Raw genomic sequence first — 18005 nt, forward strand, 5'->3', positions numbered from 1 at the left:
ATAGCTTTTCTATTTCACCAGCCAAGGAATTCAAAACCCTAAAGAAAAGCATTTGACAACACATTTTTGATATTCGAAAGCTGATTTCTCAAACAAAAGTATATATCCAAATGGCATTTTAAAATAGACACTGACTATATCGGTCTACTTTTCAAATTATTAATTGCAATATTCTTTATTCATGTGTTTCTGTGATTTCATTTGCCTTGTTAATATAGAGTTATTCTGCTACTGTGTGTTCCAAGTGTTAGCTGACATTACAATCCCGAATACTTGGAAGACCTCTGCATCAACAGGTATACTCAGGAGGGATTATTTTGGTATTATTTGCTGTTGTATTAGTTAAACTCTTTGCTTATTAGCCTCTGGATACACTTTCAAGTAGCAATGTATCAATGGTACAAGGTTATGCTAAAAAGCCTTAAGTTAAAGAAACTTACCAAGGGACTCTAGATCTAAAAATAGTCTCATATTTTAATAGCTGTGGTAATCCACTATAGCACAAACTTGTTAAAGTGCAGTACAGAATTCTACTCAGTTTCTCTTTCAATTCAGGGCAGAGAGCAAAGATATAGGGAGACAATCATCGGATGATAAATTAAGGAGACATTAGCTTAAGAAAAGTGTATTACCTTCTGGTTCAGCTGAGTGGTGGATGGTGAAACACACCCTTGCAGAGTAGATAGAATACAGAGAAAAGTAGTGTCCCCAGAGATACTTACAGGTAAGTGGCATTTCTGAATACCTGTCGATACTGTAGAGTCCATACATTTTCTTTGCTTCATCCTTTTAAAAAAACTGCACTCCCTGATCTGACTCTGCTACTAATACCTGATTCTGCCTTTCTGACTTCATCTTATATCCTTTATACTTTTTTCATACCCATTCCCAAAGCTTCCCTTGCTTTTCTTAAAAAAAAAAAAAAAGAAAAGAAAAGAAAAAAAAAAGTCCAGCTGGGCGCAGTGGCTCACTCCTGTAATCCCAGCACTTTGGAGGCCACGGTGGGCGGATCACGAGTTCAAGAGATGGAGACCATCCTGGTCAACATGGTGAAACCCCGTCTCTACTAAAAATACGAAAATTAGCTGGGCGTGGTGGTGCGCACCTGTAGTCCCAGCTACTTGGGAAGCTGAGGCAGGAGAATCGCTTGAACTCGGAAGGCAGAGCTTGCAGTGAGCCGAGATTGTGCCACTGCACTCCAGCCTGGCGACAGAGCGACTCTCCATCTCAAAAAAAAAAAAAAAAAAAAATTCCAGTATGTACCTGCCTCAGAGTCTGTGCTTGGAATTCCCTTTCAGATACCCACATAGCTTGGTCCCTTCCTGCTTAAATGACATCAGCGAGTATTCTCTAACATATTATATAAAATAATACCCTCCCTTCCGTATTCCCCATAGCCCTTACCCTGCTCCATCTTTCTCCATAGTACATATCATCATCTGGCTTATTCTTTATTTGCTTATTTGTTTAGTCTTTCTACCCCATTAGGATGTTTTTAAGGAACCATATCTGAGTTTTTCACTGCTGTATCTCCCCATTGAAGCAGTGTCTGGCACATAACGGGCACCCAATAAATATTTATTAAATTAAATGACTAGCAGAATATTAATCTCTTGCATGAAGGCAGTTAGATAACTGTTCTAAAAACCACTTATGTGGCTTACACTGTGCCTCATGCAGAGTGTAATGAGTGATGCTTGATGAAATGATTTGTTGGGGTTTCCTCCTCCCCTACCTCGCACTTCAGACCCTATGTCATGGGGGAAAATATAGGGATTCCCTGGCCTAAATAAACTGTACAAAAATACCCAACATGAGTGTTTCAACAAGCAGATAGTAGTATTGGAAGGAATGCAGACTCAGTTTGGGCAAAATCTGTGTATGGAGAGGTTTTTCATGGGTTGTGTGTGTGTGTGTGTGTGTGCATATGTGAATGTATGAGGTAGAAGGAAGGTATCAAAAAAGAAATGTAAAAATGAAGTCATATGGCCAGAAGCATTTTAAGAGTCAAAACTTGTATTGAAAACAATCTACTTTGTACTTGAAAATGAGAAATAGTTGTGTGAGGTAGGCTTTTCCGTCACTCTAAGAGCCTTTGAAAGGCATAAAAATGTTGAGTAAGACATTCCTTAAATGCACTAACCAGCAATTTTAGGAAAAAAAAAGAATGCTCTTGGATGATAGAGAAAAATACATGGCAATACAAATCTGATTTTATATTAAGAAGTTTCCTGATGTCAGAAACAATGCCAGGAAAAAGAATTGCAGTGATTGGCGCTGAAGTCAGTGGATTAAACGCTATTAAGAGCTGTCTGGAAGAGGGACTGGAGCCCACCTGTTTTGAAGGAGGCAGTGACATTGGAGGAGTATGGAGATATGAGGTAAGTTTGAATGGTCTTATGTTTTTATGTATATGTGACTTCCACAACTGAGAAATAGAAATATAAGAATTGCAGCACTAATTTATCCTTCAATTATCAGAATAATAATAAATATTTTTACTAATGTCTGCACCTGTGTGTTGAATCTCATTCTCTTCTTTTCCTCAAGGTTAATATTCAGTCCATCCTTCTTCCTTTGGGAGTCCAGCTTCTTGAAGGAAGAATGTATGCTTGCTCTCAGCACTTTCTCACCTCCCGCCACATTTCAACCATTGCTACATGATGGACATCCCCAGCACTTCCTGAAAACTGTTCTCATTGCTGTTTCCAAAGGTGTCAAATCAAGTGGACCTTCTGGCCTTTTTGCTTTCTCAAGGAGAGCTAATTATGTTAAAACCCAACCAACCTTCTTAAAAAACATTCGTCCCTAGCTTCTACAATTTCACTCTCTTTTCTTCTCTGCTTTTCCTCTTCAATATTTTTCCACTTGGCCTCTAGATGTGGCTGGCTGTAGCTTTATTTCAATCTTCTGTTCTTTTAACCTTTTGCTCATTCCTTAGGCTATCTCCTTATCCCTTCTTGACTTCAGCTGCCATATATGCTAATATATAATCTTTAGATCTTTATCTTCAGCCTAACAACGTATGTATGCTAGAGCAACTAACACTAAGGGTCTCACAGACAAATTCTCAAACCTTAAGAGGTTAGCATAATAACAATAGAAGATATGATTAAGTAGCCTTTCTCCAACTTTAACTTATACCCCTGGACCATATAGCCTCCAAGGGTGCCACAGAAGGGAAAAGAGAGAAGGTGGAAGGCTACTGACCCATAACTGCCTAGGGCTAGCCTAGAGGTGGGGTGGCTACCTGATTTTGCTAATCTCTAGGATGTTCCACCAACACCTCATTAGCTTTTGAGGTCTTTTATTATCTGTGAGATCAATTCCCTGCATTACCTTCCCTGTCTCAAGTTAAGAGTAGTTTCCATGTTCCTGGTTGATCCCTGAGTGATACAGACACATCTCCAGGAAGGCTTTCCCAACACCACCTGCCTCCAGGTCCAAAGCACCCTATGGACACACCACTATTACATCTATCTCACTGCATGTGATTGCTGATCTCCTGTGTTAGGTTTTCAAAGCATTTTATGTGAATTATTTTATCTGGGGAAATTCAGCCAGATATCGGGTGAAATTCACTCCTGATATTTCACATAGGTTCTTTTCTATTTTCCCTACGTGTCAGCTGGTCTGAGAAATAAAGGGACAGAGTACAAAAGACAGAAATTTTAAAGCTGGGTGTCCGGGGAAGACATCACACATCAGCAGGTTCCGTGATGCCCCCTGAGCCGTAAAACCAGCAAGTTTTTATTAGTGATTTTCAATAGGGGAGGGAGTGTACGAATAGGGTGTGGGTCACAGAGATCACATGCTTCACAAGGTAATAAGATATCACAAGGCAAATGGAGGCAGGGTGAGATCACAGGACCACAGGACTGGGGTGAAATTAAAATTGCTAATGAAGTTTCGGGCACGCATTGTCATTGATAACATCTTATAAGGAGACAGGTTTTGGGAGCAGACAACCAGTCTGACCAAAATTTATTAGGCAGGAATTTCCTCGTCCTAATAAGCCTTGGGAGCACTATGGGAGACTGGGGCTTATTTCATCCCTACAGCTTTGACTATAAAAGACGGCCATCCCCCAAAGCGGCCATTTCAGAGGCCTACCCTCAGGGACACATTCTCTTTCTCAGGGATGTTCCTTGATGAGAAAAAGAATTCAGCGATATTTCTCCCATTTGCTTTTGAAAGAAGAGAAATATGGCTCTGTTCCACCCAGCTCACCGGTGGTCAGAGTTTAAGGTTATCTCTCTTTTTCCCTGAACATTGCTGTTATCCTATTCTTTTTTCAAGGTGCCCAGATTTCATATTGTTCAAACACACATGCTCTGCAAACAATTTGTGCAGTTAAAGCAATCATCACAGGGTCCCGAGGCGACATACATCCTCCTCAGCTTACAAAGATGATGGAATTATGAGATTAAAGTAAAGACAGGCATAGGAAATCACGACGGTATTGATTGGGGAAGTGATAAGTGTCCATGAAATCTTCACAATTTATGTTCAGAGACTGCAGTAAAGACAGGCATAGAAATTATAAAAGTATTAATTTGGGGAACTAATAAATGTCCATGAAATCTTCACTATCCACGTTCTTCTGCCATGGCTTCAGCTGGTCCCTCTGTTTGGTGTCCCTGACTTCTTGCAACATTATTTTGTCCTCATAACAATACTGCGACTGCAAGGACAATGCAAAGACTTATTTACAGACAGAGAAATAGATTCAGAGAAATGATTTTATGTCAGGTTCTTTTTCCTAGCCACACAATGATATATATCAAGAACCACATCAAAATACCACCTCATGTCATCTAACTTCACTAGGGATGCTCATATGTTAGGCTGTCACTTATTAAACTGCTGGTCATATTTGCAGAGACTAACCTTATCAGGAGGGGGTATTTTTGTATACAGGTACATCAATAAAATGAGTTTTATTAATAAACAATGCTCTCCAGTTTGAAGAAGAAAACATATAGTTTGATTTTTCCTAAAGCTGATATACTTTAGCATGAATTACATTCCATATTTCATGGCTTGAAATATTACACATGACACAAAACATTATTAAAACCCCCAAAATTGTGTTTTGTGTGTTCACGTATTAAAATAATGTAGTTAGGATTACAATAAATTTTTCTAGGAGAAAACAACATATTTTCAGTGGTGGTATGTTTTACCTTACCTTTAAATTACTTAGATATGTAGCCATAATTTTTTTAAAAAAAATCAATAATGGCTGTTAATGTACACAACAGATACTGTATGTTGTATGGACTCCTATTATATCTTGGAAAATGAGAATAATGTGCATCATAGAATTGAATTATGTTATTATATATTGAAAACTCTTCAAAACCATAAGTACAGTAGTGATAAAACATTATATACCCATCTGTGTGTGTATAGATAAATAGATAATATATGTAGCAAGAGATCTTGAAAGATAGGCCGTGATTGGAAGGGTATACATCAAAATATTTAAAGGGATCATCATGAATGATAGTCTTCACCATAATTTTCTATAAAATAATAATAATAATAAACATGTGCTGCTCATGTAATTAGAAAAAATTGCCAATATAAAAAATAAAGGATAAAAGAAAGTCTAAGTATGATCACTACTATTTTCTATGAGTCACTACAAACAGCCAAGGGCTTCCTGGATGCCCTCTTCCCAGTACTCTCCAGTCACCCATCAGTCTGGAACTTGAAACCCTACAAAGCTCTGCAGGCAGAGAAGCAGCCCTTATCTTCCTCTGCTTATTTTCACTTTCCGGTGTACTACACACATTTTTATTTTCCTGTCCTTCTGTCTGTTCCTCACTAGAATTTTTTTTGCTCTTCTTAACTATTTGCCGGAAAATATCTTATCTCTTAGTAAAGGTAATGTGAAATTGCTTTCTTTGAAAGAATTTAGTCCAGGAACCTCATAATTCTACATATAAAGAGACTTCTTCTTTAACTTGTCACTCTTGTATTCTAAAAGATGGTGAGTGTCTTCTTCTCTTGTAGGAGAAGGCTGAAGGTGGCAGGGCAATCATCTATAAATGTGTCACCAGCAATACTTCAAAGGAAATATCAGCCTATAGTGATTACCCTTTCCCTTCCCATCTTCCCAACTATTTGCACAATTCCAAATTGATGGAGTACCTCAGAATGTACATCAATCACTTTCATCTTCTGAAGCACATACAGTTTATGGTAAATGAGGTAGAGGGCACTTAGCACATGTGGAACCATCTTGGGAGGGTGGAAAACCAGGCCAGAACAAAGTACAGCAAGGCCTCCATTCAGTTTAGGGGGTGACAGGGTTCACCTTACATACATCTCTAGTGAAATCAGCAGGAGCTTCTCTCTTCTCTTCCTTCAGGAAAAAAAAAAAAAATATGGTGGATTGGCTGAAACATCAGACTGGACCCCTTTTGTAGACTTACCCCTAACTATGATCCCAACCATGATTGGGAGAAAACTGGACTAAATAAGGCTCTACTTAAAGAGGCCTCAGTAGCAAAATCAATTCTAAAGGAATCCCAGAGGAGAGTGGCTATAACCAACCTTATTCATTAAAGCCAAGAGTTCTTTGGAAGGAGGGCAAGTGGGAGGAGTGGTTATGAGTCTGAGTTTGTCTCATTCCCAGTCAAAGGTGTGCAGTGTGAAGAAGTGCTGCAACTTCTCATGCACAAGGCAATGGGATGTTGTGGTCGAGACTGGAGGGAAGCAGAAATCCTATGTCTTTGATGGGATTATGGTGTGTAGTGGCCTTCATAGCCATCCCGTATTACCACTCCAGGACTTTCCAAGTATGTCATATAGAATGCTAAGGCACTGCTTTTATGGGGTTCTATCGTTGTTATTGATTTTTTTTAAAGTTTTCAACTCCGAAGGTCACCTTATTTTTACAATAAATATTACCTTTTCTGACTGTGAAATCATGCATGCTCTTTGAAAGTCCGTTCAATAATAGATAATGTTTTAAAATTGAAAATAAAAATTACTAGTATCTCATCAGCATCTGGGCTTTTTAATAGGAAAGTCCCACATTTTAACACAATTGGAAGGTTGTTTTGTGTTGGTAATAGTTTGGAGTAAATAGGAAAATCAAAGCTACAGAAAATATTTTGAGATTTAGCTTTATTTCATGTGTATGTATATGCATAGCATGACAAATATAAATAGCTATTTGCTGGTGTTACCATGCATCTTAAAATAGACTGCAATGTTATTGCTCTGCTATTTGGAAGCTCAAGCACCCTGAATACTAGGAATGATGCAGGAATGATTTCCCTGCACAAGATCTCTCTGTTCATCTCTAGAAATATAAGTATTTAGTCTTCTTGAAGAGGGCTGAACCTTAGGCTCCTTCAAGATTCCCAGGAGACTCTGGATTTCTCCACATCCATTGTTTCTTTCCCAGTATATAAAAAGATGAGAAGGTCATAATTGGCCAAGAGAGGTCTATTTTTTGTTTAGTTAATTAATTCGAGATTTAAACATTCCTGTACTTATGCATTCAATAATAATTCAAGAAACGCCTATTGAGCACCAACTTACCAGAGGCTCAGCAGAGAGCAAAACAGACCAAACCTCCATCCTCAAGGAGTGTGCATGGTAGTGGATGGAGACAGACACAAATGGGAGAAATATGTTGGAGGCAATACTTGTTGAAGGAAGGGGAAGCAGGGAAGGAGGAGGAATTTTAGCAATAGGGGATTGTCTTACAACATTAAATAAGGTGTCAAGGCAAGCCTCAGTTAGAAAGGGACATTTGAGTAAATACCCAAAGGAGTTGGGGAAGTGATGCAGGTATCTGGGGAAAGCATACTGTTTTGAAGGAACAGCATGTGCAAAGGCCTTGAGGTAGGAGTGTGCCTGACAATTCTAGTGTGGCTGGACCAGAGGAAAGAGTGGGAAGAAGATGAGGACAGAAAGTGAAAGAGAGACCAGATCAAGAAGGGCCTTTAAATCTTATGTTTGGACTCTGACTTTGGACTCTGGGCCTCAGGAGTGGCATGCTCCCGCCACTTTGGCTGCTCTGTTAAGAATAGCTGGGAGAAGATGGTAGTGGTGGAAGCTAGGAGACTGGTGTGGATGCTCTTGCACTAACCCAGGTGAGAGATGATGGGGACATATATTGATATAGAGATGATGGGGACATGTATCGAGGTGGTAGCAATGGAGATATATAGAGATGTGCTTGGAACCCACATGTAGTTTAATGGTAGAGATGACAGGATTTAGTGATGAATTAGAAATGGGATGTGACAAAAAGAGAGGGGTCCAAGATAATACCAATGTTGTTGGCCTGCATGAGGGAGAGAGATTGAGGAGGCCACAGGATGACCAGGTTCCAGAGATGCTCATTGCAAGTGGGACAGAATGGAATAAGATTGAAAATATTCAAAGGAGAGAGCTAAATTTATTTTCTAAGCACTTACTATGTCATAGGAGCATATCAAGGGATCCTTATACCGTTCCTATGCAATAGGTAAAATAATGTCCACTTTACACATTACAAATTTAACTACTAAGAGGTTCATGCCTAGGTTAAAAGTCACATTGACTCCAAGGGCAAAGGGTTCATTTTGGAATAAAAGAGAAACATTTTCTCCTGGAGAAAAGAAGACGGAGGAAAGATAGATGAAAACACACTAACTTCTAGGTGTTGAGGAACTCACCTAAGAACTTTGTTGTTTTCATACAAATGAGAAGAAAGGTTATTTTCAGGGAATGAGAGGGGTGACATTGGCACCAAGGAAAGGGGAAATAATTGAAGTAGCTGCAGTAAGATAATTGATAGGGAGTCTATCCTATCCATGGGCAATTGAACTTGCCAAACATAGAGTTTAGGAACAATTGGATCCATGCCAGGAGTTCACTATGTGAGAATCAAATAACTGTTTCCAAGGGAAAGCTAATGTTTTGGAGCAAATTCTGTAGGGAAACGGGGACACAGCAAAGACTGAACCACCATCAGGACTGACTAAGGCTGTGCAGTGTCACAGGAGGAGCAAATGAAGCCCATATGTGCAGACCCCAATATTGTTTAAAAGATGAAATGCTGCAAAATCAATCAGCTTTTATGGCTTTGCTATATAATCTTTCTCTTTAAATCAAAGTAAAAAACTTATTTTTTAGGAAAAAATAAGTTCTTACGTCCTCTTAGCTGCAGATCTTGTGGGTGATGTTGGAGCGTTTGGCCCCAGTAGGAGAACAGAGCGATAGTGCTAGTAGGAAGGGTGTACTTGGCCCAGGAAGCAAAGGAAACAGCTATACAAGGATGAAGCTTGGCCAGGGAAGACAAGACAGAGGAAACTGAGTCCAGGGCAGTAGTTGTGAATAACATGAGTGATGGATGAGGAAAATATATTACTTAAATAAGAGCTGAGCTCCTCCTTGAAGGCTTTGCAGGATACAGATAAGTAAAAAGGAGTCAGAGGTGAGATATCTGAGTTTCTCAGAAGTCTGGGGGTCTGTTCTGTCTTGGAATTTACAGTCTAGAACAAATCTGTAGGAGGATTCATTCTGCCTGATGATGCTGGGCTGGCAGGGTCCATGACACTAGCATCAGTAGACCAGCAAATGATATGCGTTAGTAGGATGAACTTTGAGTTCAGTGATAAGCTTTGGAGTATACCATCAGTTAAAATAAATGGAATAATGACCAATGCTTTAGTAATTTTGTTCTTTCCCACAGGGATCAAGAGGTTCAAAGGCCAATATATTCACAGTTGGGAATACAAGAGGCCAGATAAATTTCGGGAGAAGAAAATTGTTGTTATTGGCTTTGGAAATTCCAGAGCTGATTTGGCCATTGAGCTCAGCCATGTAGCTGCACAGGTTTGGCCCCTAAAATTCTCTGCCCCTCAACGCAACCTGCCCACTTCTCTGAGCATTGCATGAAATGTGTATAGCATCTACCCCATCACACACACAGTCTTTATTGTTAATTATCTCTTCACACCTGTTTTCTTTGTAAGACATCATGGTAATCCATTTTAAACATTTGAAAATGTATTAAAAGTAAATACTTCAAACTTTAATGACTGCCATATCGTTTATATTTACTAAAGCATCTGGACTCTTCATTAGCTCAGCCAAGGGTTTCAAAAATCAACATACCAGAAAACCATTTTTTTAATTTCTTTATTTTCCATTGACATGACATTTGCCACCATCTCCCAACTCTGATTCCTCCATACTTAGATTCTAGGGACATGATCAACAAAGTGCTCTAGATACTGTAATACTATGATTAGCAGATAGATGGGATTTACGTGTCAATTTGTTAATTTCTAATCGTCTTGCATTATTTAGTTTTTCTGGAATTTGGAACCTGAGTGATTGTATGATATGATGAAACACTGTTTTGAAGAAGGTTCAAAGGGCTAGTGGGTGAGATCCAGAGGGAGGCCTGGGCAGATTTCTGGAGCTATAAGCAATGTTAGGTGTGTCTGTATGTGTGAGTATATGTGTGACTGTATCTGTTGGTCTAACTGAGTTTGAGAAGTGAGGAACACTTCAGGCTAAAAAGGCAAGAGAGTTCTTATCCACTTATCCTCTTGAGCCAAATAAGAGATATATGAAGAACTGAGAAAACATCTTACAAAAGGAAATACATTGTGAGGCAGTTATTTTTCATATATTTGTCTTCTCTCCTAGGTGTTTCTCAGCACAAGACGGGGTGCATGGATGTGGAGCCAGGTCTGAGATTATGGGATGCTCATGGACACTGCCCTCTTTACTCATTTTAAATCTGTCCTCAACAAATTTCACCCTGCATTCTTAATCAACAGATGGACAGAGAATAAATTAAATACTCGATTTAACCATGAAATCTATGGTTTACAATCCCCACATAGGTATGTTTTGGGATTTTTAAAACATAATATGGGGTCTTTTGGGGTCAGCAGCTGAGACTTGGAACATAGAAGTGGTTTAGAGTCCATGTTTACCATCTTGAAAATAAACTTCAACTATCTTAGGAGAATGTTAATCATTGTTCCCTTTATCATGCTTCTTTAAACCATTCTACTCACTTTTCTTACAGGAAAATATCGTGTTCCAGGATTATGGTGGCAGCTTCACCTGTCATTTGACACCATCTTCCAACTCTGACTCCTTCCATACTTAGATTCTAGGGACTCGATTAACAAAGTGCTCTAGATACTGTAATATTAATACTATAATTAGCTGATGGATGGGATTTATGTGTCAATTTGTTAATTTCTAGTCTCCTTGAATTATTTCATTTTTCTGGAATTTGGAACCTAAGTGGGGCATGAAAGTGGATGGGCCCACTCATTTAACTCACATACTGGCTACTTATATAATAAGGAACACACAGAAGATACTCAGATAATATCATTTAACTCACATTGTGGCTACCTATATAATAAGGAACACACAGAATATACTCAGATAATAGTTATTCATTTACTACACGTGGTGTTTGACCATTTCCTTCTTGGTTCTCCGGCTTCTGAAATTCACTCCTTCTTTAGACTCTGAGACCTGCATAAGGTGGACAGGCAGTAGATGGTGTACTGTGTTATAAAGCATCACCTCCATTTTCCCAAGCCAAAAGAATCAGGAATCTGGCAATATAAGGGGAGCAATAAGAGGGGAGACTTGGGGCAGGGAGAATCCTTTGAAATGCAGCAAATGCTTTCTTTGCCTTGAATAGAATTCTGGATCCAGACAGCTATCTGAATCCTTGCTTCACCATTTACTAGTTATGTGATATCACCAAATTTACTTAACTACTTACTTATGCCTAATTTTTATTTTATATAAAATGGAGACAACATTAGCACCAACTCAGAAAATTGTTTTGAGCATTAAATAGGAGAAAGCACATGTATAGCTTATACTAGCACCTAATGCATAGTAAATGCTCAACAAATTTGTGTTGTTTTATATTATTAATTTTCTGACTATAGTAAAATTATACCTATGGAATTTTAACTTATGGAGGTGACTGACTGACAACATGAAGAAGTCAATGCCATTGAAAGAACTTACATTTACTTACATTTCCCAAGCAAAGTGGGTGTGCCATACCACGCAGGGCCATAGAGGAGCACCATGTTTGGTCAGGCGGAAGCCAGAGCAAGGCAGAGAATTAGAGGAATCAATAGCAAGGATGGCAAAATAGAAAGAAGAAAATTTCAGGAAGGGAATGGCCAAATGTCAAGTGTAGTAAATCAATAAATATTCTCTGAGCACCTTCTGTGTGTTCCTTATTGTATCAGTAGCCAATATGTGAGTTAAAAGAGTGAACTCGTCCACTTCCATGCCCCAAAACTCAAAAAGGGAAGTTTGCTGGAAACAAATGAGGAAATATCGCTCAACTTTTGTATGAAAACAGTTTTTGTCTGCATCTGAAGCATACAATTGTGTATTCTGAACACTGAATCTAAAAAAATACATAATGGAGCTAGAAAAATCTTCTCAGAAAGACAATGAAAATGATGAAGGTAGACTGATGGTCTGCCGCATGATGACAGTAGAAATCTGCAGATATGGTGGGGTTGAGGAAAGATGGAATGTGGAATTCACTCAATGCTGACTACAGACTAACAGCAAATATTCACGAGGTTGAAAAGAGTAAAATTTGGGATAAGTATAAACTTACGCATTGTATGATTAATTCAAATATGGTGTCAATAGAATAAAACTTTGCTTGAAAATATAGCTAGAGTACTAGGGAAAGAGAAGTAGTAGAAAGTGGAAGAGGTAGGCAGGGACAGACCACATAGGGCTTTGTAGGACTAGAGCATGGTGGGGATTTGGGTTTTTGTTTTCAGTAAAATAGAAAACCACTGAAGAATGTTTTTGTATATTAAAAGAATCATTCAGGCTGCTAAGTGTAAGAGAAAATGTAGGGAGTCGAGGGTGGAAGCAGGAAGACCACTAATGGTATTGAAATTAGATGGTGCTAGTAAATTTATTAAAATGGCATGTATATTCTCAATATAAAGTAAAAATAAAAATATGGTATGATTTTCCTGTTCCAATGCAAACACCTTGGCAACTATTTTTTAAAACTTTCTAATGAATGAAATTATTTAAAAGAAGTTAGATATTAATGTATTACCAGTATAAGCTTTTATATGACATTTTAAAATCTTTCCTTTGCATATAGTAAGCATTAATAAATATCATTGGCATTCTGATAAATACAGAAAGTTTCTGCAGTAAGTAATTCAGAAAAGGAATTGAGGAAAAGAAATATTTCTGTAAAACAAAAATGCGGCTCTTTCATTAAGCATTGAGTCACTAATGGTAAGCAAATAGTAATTAATAGTAAGCAAAATGACTTACTATTAATTTTCCTGTACTTCAATTTGTATTATTCCGATTCCTGAGCCATCAAATTTCTATGAGTGATGATCTACCCAACCATGTAATTTGTGGAAGACTTGTGATGAAACCGAATGTGACAGAGTTCACTGAGACAACTACCATCTTTGAAGATGACACAGAAGAGGAGATTGATGCCGTCATCTTTGCCACAGGCTACACCTTGTCTTTCCCTTTCTTGAAGGAAGACTCATCAATCCTGGACAGCTGTGTTCCATGTTTAAACATGTGTTCCCTCCTCAGCTGGAGGAGCCAACACTAGCTTTCACTGGCATCCTTCGAACAGTGGGAGCCACCATTTCCTCTTCAGAGGTCCAGAGCTGTTGGGCTGTATGTGTATTTAAAGGTATGTGCTGACTTTAGGAATATTTAGAAAAGGTTGCCATCAGGTGGTGTGATTTCAGAGACATTGCAAAAGTCCTTTGCCGTAAAGCATCTCTGAAGTTAAAACCTTTACAATATCTGAAATTCTGCCACTTGAGATCTGTTACTTCAGTGTTTGATGGCTACTTATTTAATCTTCATGATCCCTGTGTGAATATGAAAAATAAAAAGTACTCTCGTAAGTTATTAATGACAACGTATTGGCAAGTAATTCTTTAGAGCACTACAGGGATGTATGTAGCATAGAAAGTGAGAGCAGCAGGGAAAAAAAAAAAGATCTCAACATGAAGTAGAGGTGGGAAATAATAGCTCTCTTACTTCCCAATGTTGCTAGGGTCATTCTGGAATAAGCGAAAATTAAAGAAAGCATTTTTTGCCTATCTTTCAAGTGTCCATTCAAAATATAAAGAAAACAAGCAGGTAAATTTGGCAGAGTCACAGAGCCACTGGAATAACACTACAGCACAATTCAAAGAGCAAGGGCTTTATAATCAAATAAACCTGGGATTAAAAACTAGTTCTACCATGTACTGGCTGCATGATCTTGACCTGCTACTTGACCTTAATTTCCTCATTTGTAAAAATGGGAAGACTTATATCTACTTTGCAGGATGGTAAGAATTAACAATTGAGCACCTTGACTTTAGGAGGCATTCAGTAAATATTGATCGAATAAATAGAGATTAGCCATTGTTGTAATCCGTTATTATTATTCTTTATTTTACCATTAATTCTAAGCTCAAGAATGAATCAGTGATGACAAATTCAAAACCTACCTTTATAAAATGATGCCAGTCATATTGTAGTAATTCTGTTTATTTGTCTCTTTCTCTTTTAAAAACTTTTCCTTATTTCCTGGAACATTCTGTGTTTTTCAAAATGTAGGATGTCACCCATTTTAGGAATGAAACAGAATTGTAAGAAGGTGACTTCCATCCATTAAGATGGAAAATTAGTAGGAAACTTTGGTGTAAAGAAAACAATCAGAAGACTTTGAATTACCATTAATAGCTACAATCCATATTTGTAAACTAAGTAGTAATAGAAATGAACAAGTTTAACTCCCTGTTTAAAGGAGAACCAGAGTATATATTCTGATAATGGAACTACAAACATGCTCATTTGTGCCTTGTCAGTTGGGTGAGACTCAACCCTTTAGTCCATCCTTCTTCGTGGGCTTTGAGGGCTTTGAGGTCTGCTAATCAAAATGTGAACTCATCAGGCATGTGACAAAGTTGTATGTTTGCATCTGGCAGGCATGTGCACTGTTAAAACAATGAGTGGAGGGCATTCCAGAGCTGTCCCTGGATTCATCTTCCCCATGCCTGTGCTACCTCACTCATGATGTTCTTTACCAAACGGACCTTTGGGGTGTCTATATTTTCCTGAAACCGCATCTTCTCAATAAGAAAGCCATGTTGAAATCCAGAATTTCTTTCCTAGGATTGAACAAACTACTTTCAGTGAGTGACATGATGGCTGACATAAGAAAGAAGAGAAAAAAGTTGGAAAAGGTATAAGAAACATGTTTTTTGGTAAAAGTAAATTGAAAGGGTTTAGGTGGAGCTGTTTGCTTACCAAATTTTTTTTATTTTACTCATCATAATGTCTTGATCTATTTACCTAGGTGAGATCTCAAATTATCAACTTTTAAATTTCCCCTTAACCAAGCATAGTATCATGTATGGAATATTTAGGGGTGAAATGGATACAGAATGGTCCGTCATGAAAACTTCAGAAATTTGTTTAAAGTTCATGGAATGGCAGCCACAGCATACAGTTTTAAATTTATGATAGCCTTATAAATGTAAGGCATAGAAAAATGTAATATGAATTGAAAGATTGTTTTATTTCCCAGGATTCCTTTAAGGAGTTTAAGGAGTTATTTCCTTTAAGGAATTGGGAAGATAAATCAATGTGAGAAATGAGTTGGCGAATCACCATAGAATCCAATTAAAATTCTGATGTGAGTTCAGCAGCTTGTAGATTGTGCCAGACCTTCTTAATGGAAAATTATTCTCAACCACTAGGGTTGGGATGTAATTTATTTCTATTCAACAAGTATGTGTTGAGAATCTACAATGTAAATGTCACAGCGTGTTTTCTAAGATCAAAGGGCTTACATCCTAAGAACAGTCAGTTATCCAGTAACTTTGATTTAAGAAGGTTAGCCAAGAGTTGCATTTCAGTAATACATAAAATTAACATCACATATACCTAAATAACTGTCATGTACAATTCATAGAGCATAGTTCCCACCACCAATTTACCAAGATGAGGTTATTTCCTGAATGAAAACCAAATGCATGGCAAAAATATAGAATTTAGGAAAAGGAAAAAATATGATTAGTAAGGCAAAAATCTTCTGAAACACACCTATTGCTATCCAAAAACCTTTCCAAGTATTTGAAGGAGAAAAATACACCTACATGAATATTTCGTTAGAAACTCCTGAAACCACGGTAGCAGAAAATAAGGAAACCAGACTTATCTCTTGCTTTTTGAAGCAACCGTCAATGACACAGTTGCTATTAAGCCACTGATAGCCATCATCTTTTCCCTATAGATGATCTCCTCACACAAGGTCTACCCAGTATTTACAGGAAACTGCTTGGAGGGATAGAAGTTATCATGTGACACAAGGCTTCTGATTTTTTCCTTTTTGGTGTCAGATTGCTGAAAAATCCTCAAGATACACACGGAGTGTACTATGTAGATTACATGGATGAAACTGCCTCTGAAATTGGAGCGAAACCCAACCTCCTCTCACTCTTCCTGTGGGATCCAAAGCTAGCTATGGAAGTTTTCTTTGGACCATGCACACCTTACCAGTACTGCCTTCAGAGGCCAGGGAAGTGGGCTGGAGGCCAGGAAGCCATCCTGACCCAGAGAGAGAGAATTATCAAGCCCCTGAGGACTCGTATCCTTACTCGTGACCAGCCTTCATTCTCTGTTATTTTGGCTTAAAAGTATCAGTGCAGTCCTTCTCATCTTTGTCCTCATTTTCATCATTGTTAAAGGATAATCCTCCTTTGTGCATTATTACAGTATAGACCAACAATGGTACACAATAATTAAGAGCCCAGCATATGCAAGTGTTTTTCTCTCAATCCAGACTAGACTAGTGCAGTGAACTGTCCAATAATTCCAAAATTTCCCATGTGCGGATATTTTGGCCAAAATGGAGATTTTGTAAACAGAGATTTCAAGTAAAGTGGTTTGTGTAAGAAATTACTTTTGAACTGCACATTTAATTTCTGTAACACGACAAATATTCTGAGTTATTCCAAGTACTCCTAGGCATCTCTTTATACTAAACACATTTTTTGTTGGCTTCTTGCAATTGGTAAATTCTTGTTTTTGCATCTGAAGCACAGGCTAAGAAAAAGTATCTCTTCAAATAATCTAGAAAATGTTAACAGTGAAAAATATCACCAGAAACCCTTTCCATGAGGGCCACATTCTATAGAATCATGGATATTGAAGTAACAGGCTATTTCAGGTATGTTTGAGGTTTTTTTAAGGTACGGAGGGTGGCGTGGAGAGAAAAAGAGGAAATAACAGAAGTCAGGAACTACACATAATTTTGTGTTATTTTAAAACTATTGAAAATCCATTGAATAAGTCACATAGTAGACATACAAAATTCTATAAACACACTCAGAAGAATAAGAAGCAGATGTGGGTGAAAAGAGTAGAAGGTATTTGCAACATTTACAAACACTTTAATAATTAATCAAAGAGATGAAGTATTTTAGTCTCTGATTCAATCACTACTAGTGAACCTAGTCCTGATATTCTGTATAAGCTTGTTTTTTATCTGAAATATATTACTCTTTCTTTAATTTACTCAAAAAAATATTTATTGAGCATCCACTACATCAGACATTGTGCTGAGTGCTGGGAATAAACAGGCTCACTGGATAGCATCTGATCTTGTGGATTTAGTGCCGTCTGTGTACTGATGATGCCCAATCACAGACCTTTAGCCTTCGACCTAACTTTAAAAGGCTGAAGTCTAAAGCTTACACTTACATTAACCACGTGTCTATTCAGCATATTCAAACTTAACTAAGCCAAACTCTGGTGGTTTACTCTAGAGATTGGCTTCCCCATTTCTATAAATGAAAACTTCATCTTTTCAGTCCCAAACCAAAAAGTTTTGAATCTTTTGATTCCTCTCTTTCATACCCCATGCTCAGTCTATCAACAAATCCTGTCACCTTCAAAATAAATCCAGTATCTCATCA

The 18005-nt window shown here is 37.9% G+C and overlaps 1 pseudogene, besides 1 other annotated feature; it reads left to right on the top strand.

Annotated features, from left to right (window-relative positions):
- Window positions 2247-16780, top strand: FMO8P (flavin containing dimethylaniline monoxygenase 8, pseudogene; annotated as a pseudogene).
- Window positions 13141-14340: an enhancer, noted in NCBI's record as "CDK7 strongly-dependent group 2 enhancer chr1:166546309-166547508 (GRCh37/hg19 assembly coordinates)". NCBI's record gives its function as "activates an origin of replication core promoter dependent on BRD2, BRD4, P300/CBP, MED14 and CDK7 cofactors, with strong dependence on CDK7, by STARR-seq in HCT116 cells {active_cell/tissue: HCT116}" and the evidence as "EXISTENCE:reporter gene assay evidence [ECO:0000049][PMID:35650434]".

The sequence above is a fragment of the Homo sapiens genome, chromosome 1 (genome assembly GCF_000001405.40).
Source record: "Homo sapiens chromosome 1, GRCh38.p14 Primary Assembly".
Classification (NCBI taxonomy): domain Eukaryota; kingdom Metazoa; phylum Chordata; class Mammalia; order Primates; family Hominidae; genus Homo; species Homo sapiens.